At 41.2% G+C, this 11,030-nt stretch overlaps 1 protein-coding gene across 2 annotated transcripts; it reads right to left on the reverse strand.

Annotated features, from left to right (window-relative positions):
• Positions 1-4,009: 4,009 nt before the first annotated feature.
• MRGPRX2 (MAS related GPR family member X2) lies at positions 4,010-10,272 on the reverse strand. 2 transcript variants are annotated; one of them, NM_001303615.2, is made up of 3 exons: positions 9,314-9,572; positions 9,030-9,143; positions 4,010-5,982 (listed from the first exon to the last, which is right to left on the reverse strand). In NM_001303615.2, the coding sequence occupies exon 3, from the start codon at positions 5,955-5,957 to the stop codon at positions 4,965-4,967; it is 993 nt and encodes a 330-aa protein (NP_001290544.1). In that variant the 5' UTR covers positions 5,958-5,982; positions 9,030-9,143; positions 9,314-9,572; the 3' UTR covers positions 4,010-4,964. The 2 variants fall into 2 exon arrangements, with proteins under 2 accessions (NP_001290544.1, NP_473371.1); NM_054030.4 differs by lacking the exons at positions 9,030-9,143; positions 9,314-9,572 and adding an exon at positions 10,174-10,272.
• Between the last annotated feature and the right edge of the window lie 758 nt (positions 10,273-11,030).

The following is an 11,030-nucleotide window of genomic DNA, read 5'->3' on the forward strand; positions in this document are numbered from 1 at the left end:
ATACTATACAGCCTTAAAAAAGAAGTTTTGTCATTTGGACAACATAGATGAAACTGGAGGATATTATCCTAAGTGAAATAAGGCAGGCACAAAAAACCAAATACTGTATGATCCCACTTACGTGTGGAATGTAAAAACGTCAATCTCAGAGTAGAAAGGTGGTAACCAGAGGCTACAGAGGGGCAGAGAAATGGAAAAGGGAAGATGATTATCAAAGGGTACAAAGTTGCAGTTAAACTGGAGGAATAAGTTTTTGTGATCTATTGCATTACATTGTAACCACAGTTGATAACAATGTATTGTGTATTTCAACATTGCTATAAGAATAGATTTTTTGCTATTCTTATCAAACTACCAGTGACATTCTTCATAGAACTAGAAAAAACTGTTCAAAAATTCATGTGGAACCAAAAAAGAGCCCAAATAGTCAAGGCAATCCTAAGCAAAAAGAACAAAGCTGGAGGAATCACATTACCTGACTTCAAACTATGCTACAAGGTTACAGTAACCAAAACAGCATGATACTGGTACAAAAACAAGCACATAGACCAATGGAACAGAATAGGCAGCCCAGAAATAAGGCCATACATCTACAGCCCATCTGATCTTTGACAAAGCTGACCAAAACAAGTGATGGGGAAAAGACTTCCTATTCAATAAATGGTGCTGGGATTACTGACTAGCCATATGCAGAAGATTGAAGCTGGACCCTGTTCTTACACCACATACAAAAGTCAACTCAAGATGAATTAAAGACTTAAGTGTAAAACACAAAACTATAAAAACTCTGGAAGACAGCCTAGGCAATACTGTCCTGGACCTAGGAAGGGCAAAGATTTCATGACGAAGACACCAAAAGCAATTGCAACAAAAGCAAAAATTTACAAATGGAATCTAATTAAGCTTTTGCACAGCAAAAGAAACTACTAACAGAGTAAACAGACAACCTACAAAATGGGAGACAATATTTGCAAATTATGTATCTGACAAAGGTCTAATATCCAGCTTCTGTAAAAAACTTAGACAAGTTTACAAGAGAAAAACAACCTCATTAAAAAGTGGGCAAAGGACATTTACAGACACTTCTCAAAAGAAGACATATATGCTGCCAACTAGCATATGAAAAAAGCTCAATATCACTGATCATTAAGGAAATTCAAATCAAAACCATAATGAGATACAATCTCACACCTGTCCGAATGGTTACTATTAAAAAGTCAAAAAAGAACAGATACTAGCGAGGATGCAGAGAAGAGGAAATACTTGTACACTCTTGGTGGGAGTGTAAATTAGTTCAACCATTGTGGAAAGCAGTATGGTGAATACTCAGCTAAAAGCAGAACTACCATTCAGCTGAGCAGTCCCATTACTGGGTATATACCCAGAGGAATATAAAGCATTCTACCATAAAGACACATGCACATAAATGTTCATTGCAGCACTGTTCACAACAGCAAAGACATAGAATCAACCTACATGCCCATCAATGACATTGGATAAAGAAAATGTGGTACATATACACCATGGAATACTATGCAGCCATAAAAAATAATGAGGTCATGTCTTTTGTGGGAACGTGAATTAAGCTGGAGGCTATCATCCTTAGCAAATGAACATGGGAAGAGATAACAAATACCACATGTTCTCAGTTACAAGTGAAAGCTAAATAATGAGAACTTATGAACACAAAGAAGGAAACAAGAGATACCACAGTCTACTTGATGGGGAGTGGGAGGAGAGAGGGGAGCAGAAAAGATAACTACTGGGTACCGGGCTTAATACCTGGGTGATGAAATGATCTATACAGCAAATCCCCATGACACGTGTTTACCTATATAACAAATCTTCACATGTACCCCCAAACCTAAGATAAAAGTTAAAAAAATGCGGAACATATGAACCATGGAATACTATTTAACCATAAAAAAGAATGAGATCATGTCTTTTGTGGGAACATGGATGGAGCTGGAGACTATTATCCTTAGCAAACTAATGCAGGAACAGAAAACCGAATACCACACGTTCTCACTTATAAGTGGGAGCTAAATGATGAGAACTCACAACACGAAAAAGGGATCAACAGACACTAGGATCTACTCGAGGGCATTGGGTGGAAGGAGGGAGAGGAGCAGAAAAGATAGCTATTGGGTACTGAGCTTAATACCTTGGTGTTCAAATAATCTGTACAATAAACCCCCATGACATGAATTTACCTATGTAACAAATATGTACCCCCCAAACCTGTACCCCCTGAACCTAAAATAAAAGTTTAAAAAAAAAAAAGAAGAAGAAGAGATTCGTTCATGTGCAGTGGCTTATGCCTGTAATCCCAGCATTTTGGGAGGCTCAGGCAGGTGGAGTACTTGAGGCCAGGAGTTCAAGACCAGCAGAGTCAACGAGGTGAAACCCCATCTCTACTAAAAATTTTTAAAAAATTAGCCAGGCGTGGTGGTGCACGCCTGTAATCCCCGCCCCAGCTACTTGGGAGGCTGAGTCATGAGAATCGCTGGAACCCAGGAGGCAGAAGTTGCAGTGAGCCAAGATTGTGCCACTGCATTCCAGCTGGGGTGACAGAGTGAGACTATATCTAAAAAAAAATAGATGTTAAAATTTATTTTTATTTTAAGTTATGGGGTACATGTGCAGGATGTGCAGGTTTGTTACACAGGTAAATATGTGCCATGGTGGTTTGCTGTACCTCTCAACCCATCATCTAGGCATTAAGCCGAGCATGCATTACTTAGTTTTCCTAATGCTCTCCCTCCCCTCACCCCACCCCCCGACAGGCCCCAGTGTGTGTTCTTCCCCTCCCTGTATTCATGTGTTCTCATTGTTCAGTTCCCACTTATAAGTGAGAACATGTGGTGTTGGTTTAAAGAATAGATTTTTAACATTCACATTACACACACAAATAAGTTGGTAAGGTGATGGATATTTTAATCAGCTTGATTTAGTCTTTCTACAAGGTATACATTGATCAAAACATCACATCGTGCCCCATAAATATATGTAATTGTTAAAAATAAATAAATATGTAAAAATGAATAGGCAAACCACCAACCAGATAAGTATAATACACATAACTACCAAAAGAATCGTTCAGCATATGAAAAAATGTATACAAATTAATAATGAAAAAGATAAATACTTAATAAAAATAGGCAAAACTTAAGCAGACACTGCCAAAAAAAAGAGTAGCTAAAAAGCACTTAAAAGATGCTCAATTTAATAAGTCATTATGGAAATGCAAATTAAAACACAATGAGATACTATTTAACACTCATTACAATGACTAAAATTCAAAGACTGGCAATACCATGTTTGTTGGGAACATGTGGAGCAACTGGAACTCTCATACATTGCTGGTGGGAATGTGAAATGGTACAAACATTTTAGAAAATAGCTTGGTACTTTCTTATAGAATTAAGTATACATCTTTCCTTGATCCTGCAATTTCATTCCAGGTTGTCTATACAAAGAAATGTAAACATATATCTACAAAAAGACTTGAATAAGAACGTTCACAGCAGCTTTATTTATAATAGCCAAAAAATTCATAACACATCACATATATATCTGTCAGTATGAAAATAGTTACACCATAGTACACTCACACAATTAAATAGTACTCAGCTTTATGAAAGGAACAAACTACTGATACATGTGATGCAATAACATAGGTAAATCTTCAAAATATTATGTTGAGTGCAAGAGCTAGAAACAAAAAATACACATATTATGATTCTAAAAAGATACAGTTAAAGGTCAGGCAAAGCTAATATTTGTTGATTGAAATAGAAACAATGGTTGCCTCTGGGGGCAGGAAGAATGAGGAAGCACAGGGGAACTTTTAGAGATGATGAAAATATTTTGTCTTGAATGAAGTTTGAGTCACATAGGTGTATTCATTTAACAAAACTCATTAAGCTGTACATTTATGATCTGTGCATATCATTCTCTTAATTATACCTTAATTAAAAATAATAAAAAATTATTAAAAGATGCAGCATTTACAATTAGTATTTTATTCTGTGGAACACGTAACTTTTAAAAATATGTGCAATTTAATTAACAAAATAAATGCTCCGAGTTCTTCGGAATAAAAGGTAAATCTGACATACAGCCTGTCCTCCAAGAACATGGAGTCTATAAGACCACTGGAAACTTCCAGGACGAATTAGAGAGCCCCCAGAGAGGGAAGATTAGAACAAAGGCAAAGGGGAAGGAATGGGAAGGCGTGTAGCTGGGATTTTAAGGGATGGCATGTGAAAGGAAACCACAGGAAGACAGTGTACCTCAAACTTTAAATATGTGTTGACATTGATTTATCTAATTATAAAACTTAATTTCATGTTTGCAAAATTCAAAAGTAGTGAAAGCAATAAATTTAGTGACTCAAATCTGGTAAATGGAGACTTTTCAGAGGTTTAACTTAAACATTAACCAGTTTATTCATTCATTAAGCCATTCAACAAAGATTTATTAAGCTAGGGGGATATTCTAAGGTCTGCCAAAATGAAAGACGACTGCTCTTTTGGAGCTAGTTTTAAATTTAATTCTTCTAATTTTGTTGAGACAGAAATTGTACGGAAGAGAAAAAGAAATTAATTAAAAATATAACATTCTTTGAGTCCCTATCAAGTGCAGTGTCCAAAGAAATGTAGATCTTTTCTGCCCTGCTTTCAGCCTTCTGCGAAAGGTAGGATTCATTAAAAGTGGGAACAGTCATGGACCGCAGAGTTGGCAAAGCTCTCATAGGGCTGTGGTGGAAGCCTGTGAGTAAGGCAGTTCCAGAGACACTGCACTTAGTGTTTGTTTCATAGGCACTGTCTCACTTAATCCTCACAAGGACTCTCTTAACTGTTTTAAAATCAGGACTGAGAAAGTTCAGCAAATCAGACAGACAGGGGCAAAGTTGCCTCTCAAAGCCACATATATCTGATGGAAGTAGAGGCTGTCCATCTCTACACCAGACTGCTTCTCGACATCTCCGGGGTGCCCTGACGGAAGCATCCTTCACTGTGATCCACCTCAGCAATGTCCTGCAGAGCCCTCTGGAGAGCCAGCTTGAGGATCGGCTGCTGCAGCCGCCACTGCTTCCTAAAAGAGCCCACGAAGAAGTAAATGATGGGGTTGGCACTGCTGTTAAGAGATGACAGGACAACTGAAACTGGATGAATATGACAAAATAAGACATCAGAATCCTTCCAGATCCATAATATTAGGAACCACTGAATGCCAAAGGGCAGGCCGCAGAGGAGGAACACCAGCACTGTGAGCAGGATGGTCAGGTACAGCCTGGTCAGTGGCAGACCCCTGGAGCCACAGAGGATCCTGACCAGCAGGGCCAGACTGGACCCACAGAGAACCATGAATAAAAAAATCAGCCACGCTGCAGTGATGAAATCAAATGTCTGACACCAACCAGAGTCACCATCACTAAATAAGAAGCCACAGAACTTCCCTTCCAAGATGCTCAGCAGTAGGGACAGGGCCCAGAGCAGGACACACACGACCGCTGACAGGTGTCTGGGGCGGCGGCAGCGATACCAGATGGGCCACAGGACGGACAGGCAGCGCTCGGTGCTGACGGTGCTCAGCATGCTCAGGCCTGCAAGGTAGGCACAGGTCATCACAGTGGTGAAGAAGCTAGGGAAATTGATGGAGATGGAACAGAAGAAGTTACTGAGGTACACCAGGCAATTTATAATCTGGAAGCAGAGGAAGAGGAAGTCGGCCCCGGCCAGGCTGAGGACGTAGACAGAGAAGGCGTTCCTGCGCATGCGGAAGCCCAGGAGCCAGAGCACAAACCCGTTTCCTACCAGCCCGACCAGGGCAATGAAAAGGATCAGGAAGACCGGGATCAGGGTCTCCTTGCCACAAAGCAGAAGAAGGGCTTGGTCATTTCCATTCACTGTTGTACTTTCTGTTCCCCAGGCCGGGGTGGTTGGATCCATGCTCAGAAAACCTCCACTGGTGCCCCTGGAAACAAAAACAAGACTTGAGCACCTGCTGCATGTTCACTGATTTTCATGACCAGCCTGTTATGTGGTAATTACCGCCCCTGTTTTACAGGAGAGGAAATCAGAGGCTTGAAGAGATTAAGTCATTTATTAAGGGCCAGGGAGTCCTAGCACCTGGATTCAAACTCATTTCTTGCTGACTCTAAATCCTGGGCTCTTTCTATTACAAGGTAGATCCTCTGCTGGTATGGGAATATTCTAAGGCCCAAACACCCCCACTCACTGTCACTGTGTCATGTCTCCTGGAGGCAGGAAGAGAAAAGTCTAGGCAGAATATGTGGGGCAGCAAGAGACAGTACTCTGAGTTCAGGATTCTTTTTATCCTGGCATACAGATTTCCTCTCAGGGGCCAGAAGAAATGACCCAGGCCATGACCCATGGCCACCCTTAATGACTGAGAGGAGTCCATCAACAGTCAGAATGGAGATTGTGATTTAGGGTCATAACGGAGAGGTGACTTCTTGCTAGGACAGGTCTGAGGACAGCCAGGCCTGTCAGACTAGAAATTGCTCAGTGGGTCAGCTTTATGAAAACAGAAAGAGTTTTTCTCTTATCCATTTCTGTGTCCTCAGTGCCTAGCTCAATGTGAGGGCATAGTGGAGGGTCAAGAAGTTTGTACCACATATAAATGAATGAATGAATGCATGCATGCATGCATGGGGAGCCAAGAGTAGTTGAAAATTTGGGCTAAGTGGAACACCAACATTTTAAAATGAAATTAGTCACTAAAAAACACACATGTAAAGAAATGAAGAAAACATCATTCTTCATGTTTCCTTCTGGGAAAGCTCTGGTGTATTTGAAGGGATTGCTTCTGCCTACACAGATAGTGAATAATGGCCACTGTCATATCTTCAATCCAGGAAGGGCTAGTATATGGCTTTTGCTCAGCACCCAAAAGAGTTTAAACTTCCAGTTTATGGAGAGGATTCAGGGTTTATCTGAATTTCTCTGCATCTTGGAGGAAAAGGGGGCAATTTGGGAAAAGGAGAGAGAGGCAGCAATTGAGAGTGTCTAGTGTCTAGAGGTAACTAGAGGGTGTTGTGGTATGAATACATCTAAGGTGGACCCATTACTTCCCCCAGATGATTTTGAGCTTTCTTTGCAAATTAAAGCATTTGTGAACAGGATTATTTGGGGAAAGGAGTGGGAAATTAGAAAAAAGAACCATGTCTACACTGTGCAGGGCTTTGAGGGGAAAAGGCAGATGCTTATGCAAATTACACTTGGGAAGGAGCCCTTACTCATAATGGGGTGAATAATAGCAGCTGGCTGAATGCTCTTCAGGTATAGCCTCTTTAAATCTTCTTCAGAGCCTGGTGAGGTCAGTACTATTATTAGTCCCATTTTACAGAGAAGGAGATTAAAGCACAAATGTATTGAGTAATATGCTTCAGGTCTCACAAACAAGTGGTAGAGCCTGCATTTGAACCCACAGGTCTGTGTCAGAGGGCTTGTTCTTAACCAGCCTTGCAGCCCCATTGCAAGGGTTCAATACCAACTACACATGAAGAAAGGAGAAAAGCAACAAGTAATGCTCATATCAAATCCAAAATGGAATGTCGAAATTGCAGTTTTTTAAGCCTAGATTAAGCAACTTTAAGAAACAGTAAGGAAGAGAGATTAATCAAATAAGGAGAAGAGATATGAATAGAAGCCAACTGAGAATAAGCAACTGAATGCAAGAGCTCTTTCTTGCTTCAGAAAAACAGCCGTCAATCACTCCACACTGCAGAAAACTCTCATGGGTTGGAGGCCTCCAAGGGGAAAGTGAATGTGTCCTCCATGGGGGTGCAGAATTGGCATCAAGGACTGAATGCATCCATCACATGCTGTCTTAGTTCCTGTAGCCCTGGTTGGCCTTGTGAGGATATGGAAGAAAACCACTTCTGTTGTCCTCCCTCAGGGCAGGTTGGCCTTTTTATTCGTGGCACTGAACACAGTTTGCACCTGTATTTTTTTTTTTTTTTGAGATGGAGTCTCGCTCTGTCACCCAGGCTGGAGTGCAGTGGCTCGATCTCGGCTCACTGCAAGCTCCGCCTCCTGGGCTCACGCCATTCTCCTGCCTCAGCCTCCCGAGTAGCTGGGACTACAGGTGCCCACCACCACGACTGGCTAATTTTTTGTATTTTTTTTTTCAGTAGAGACGGGGTTTCACTGTGTTAGCCAGGATGGTCTCGAACTTCTGACCTTGTGATCTGCCCGCCTCGGCCTCCCAAAGTGCCAGGATTACAGGCGTGAGCCACCGTGCCCGGCCCTGCACCTGTATTTTTAAGTGTATGTCTGTTTTTTCTTTTACTTCCCTCATTAAGCTCAACATTTTTGTTGTGGTTGTTCACTATTATATCCCCAGCCTCCAACACATATCCCTTGGAGGCCATCTATTGTAATACGCTCATTTAACAAAGAAAGACAGGCTTAACGTGTACAAAAGAGTTTCCTGAATCACATGGTGAAAAGCAGGTCCAATACCAGCTCCAGTCTCCTGGGGCCCTGTCCTAGGTTTATTTCTGTTCCATGTCTACATCATTCACTATTTGTGAGGCAGTGTTGAGAAAAATCTCCAGGTGAGCACAGATGCTAAAAGAGAATCGGGCTATAGAGACTGCTTGTTGCCCCAAAAGCCATTCTCCTTTTCTCACACATAATAATTCTGAGTCTTAGATCAGAAAAAGGCCCATTTCTCAGCTTCCCTTTATGCTAATGGCACCATGTAACCATATGTGATGGTCAAGGGGAGGTGAGAGAAAGTGATATAACCAGCTACTCCTGTACTCTTTCTTTTTTTCTCTTCTCTCTGGCTGGAATGCTGATGTGTTTGGGAGCCATGTAGGACCATGAGGGTAAGGGTACCGCTTTAGGGATGGGGAAATAGAAATTGGAAGGAGCCTTGATGTTTGATGTCTTAGAGTTATCAGCCCAAGTCTAGTAAACATTCTTTTTGATTATCACTATAATAGGTTTCTTTTTAGAGAAGCCAAAATCATAAACTTACATTACACATACCTGTGTACTTATAGCTGGGAGTACCTATGTACTCCCAATCCCTTTTTTTCCCAACCACATTCCATTCTCAAGGCATTTATGATGATAGTGAGAGACTAGTCCAAAGAAGTGACACTAGATGGGAAGGTCAAACAATTAAAAAAAAGGGAGGTGATAGAATGAGAAATTGATTCAATCACATTAATAGAGAAAGTCTCAGGAAAGACAAACTGAGAAGAGGCTATGGGAAGAAATGGACTTTCCTATTTGCTATTAGGATCTCATGTCCATCCTTCTCTACCTGCCTTTGCATCCTGGGAGGAGACATGTCTGTGCCTCGTCAATGGGCTGTCTTTCACTCAGGCTCCAAAGGGTACACATTGACAGGAGATTGGAGGGTGACTTTTTTTTTCAGCCAAAGGGACACATTGACAGTAGATTGGGGGATGATTTTTTAAAAATTTCCTGGCTCTCTCCCTGCGCCCTGAAGGGCTGTGAGTTGGCAGTGGCAGTGTTTTTCTACCTAAGGACATAGCCCTGCCTGGTGGCCCTTTCCTGTAGCCACAGCTATAGTTACAGTTACAGTTACCGCTACAGCACATTCTGAGTTCTCAGAACTTCTCTTTCTCCTTATCACTTCAGACCTAGCAACGGTAACAGCCCTCCACTATCACTTGCCTTTGAGGGCTTCATCATTCCTTAATCCCTGTTCACGCCGTTGTAAACAGTCTCTTCACTAAACTCCTCTAAACTACCCCTTTAGAGTGTGTGATGTGTGTTTTCTGCTGGGACAATGACAGATATGAAGGAAAAACCTTTTGAATAACAAGAAAATCAGTGCAACCTGAGGTTTTAAATAACAATTTAGCTTAGGGAAGTAATGACTTCATTCTAGCCTGCCCCTAAATTAAAATCAGCAAAATCTTTCTCTCCATAGTTTCAGATTTGAATGGTCGAAGAGAAGGGGAGAATATTGGTAGATAGAAGAGAAGTGGGACGAACCTGCTTGACCCCATTCGGATCTCCCAGCATCTAAGCTGCCAGCATCCAAAGCTTCCTCAAAGGAGCTTCCTGTCTTCTTTTCCTAATGAATTCATCAGGATGTGGACTAAGGTAAAAACCAAAACTGCCTTTGAAAGAAGATGGTTCTTGAACAAACTCTTACCTTAACACCCTTCTTTCTACTGGAGTTGGTGAGTTGAGAAGTGCTTTCCTGGGACTGGCAAACAGCTGAGGATGGGGAGATGCCTGCAGGATCTGGAGTGAAACCTGATGACTGAGTGAAGCTTATCAAGATGCTCAACAACCCTGTGATTTCCTGTACAGAGGGTGCTGGAAAATAAGAGTATGACACAGGAAACCACATGAGATGTTTCTCAGCATTTGCCCTGACTCCAATCACTTATCTTGGTTTCTCCCCTACCCTCTCCGGCCCCACTCCCTGCAAGGAATCACCGTCCTGAAGTCTTTCATTGCCCACAATGAGCATCCAGGAAGCAGACCAATCAAGCGACGTGAGCTTTCATAGCTAAAGAATAGTCTGCCCTCTTCTGCTTGGCATTCAAGGCCCTGGCTTACTTGACCTTTCAAAATCAGGTTTATTTCAAATGACACTAAGGTGTATAAAATGAAATGCAAAGTCTCTCGAAGTCTCATTCCCCAAAAGCAACCACTGCATACAGTTTCCATTCTTTTTTTTAAAAAAGCTTTGCGTAATAAAACAACATTTCTATTTTTGATTTATCGATGTTAACAACTAGATATATTGAGTCTCCTTATAAAATATAGGGGACTTAGCACATCACATGCACCATCTGTCACGTTTCTCCCTCTACATCATGATATTTATTAGCTAGATTATTTTTAGATCATCTAGAGCCAACCAATATTTTCAGCCTTATCTCCTATGACTTCCTTTCATGTGCCTATGCTGCAGCCAAATTGAGTTATAAGTAACAATTATGAAGCATTTAAGACAATCAGAAGAAATTATTCACTCATTTATTCATTCATTCAACACTG

This window comes from Homo sapiens, chromosome 11 (assembly GCF_000001405.40).
Source record: "Homo sapiens chromosome 11, GRCh38.p14 Primary Assembly".
NCBI classification, from domain to species: domain Eukaryota; kingdom Metazoa; phylum Chordata; class Mammalia; order Primates; family Hominidae; genus Homo; species Homo sapiens.

Bases quoted from the DNA above. Each gene is read 5' to 3' on its own strand.
- MRGPRX2 (NM_054030.4), bottom strand. From the start codon at position 5,957: ATGGATCCAACCACCCCGGCCTGGGGAACAGAAAGTACAACAGTGAAT.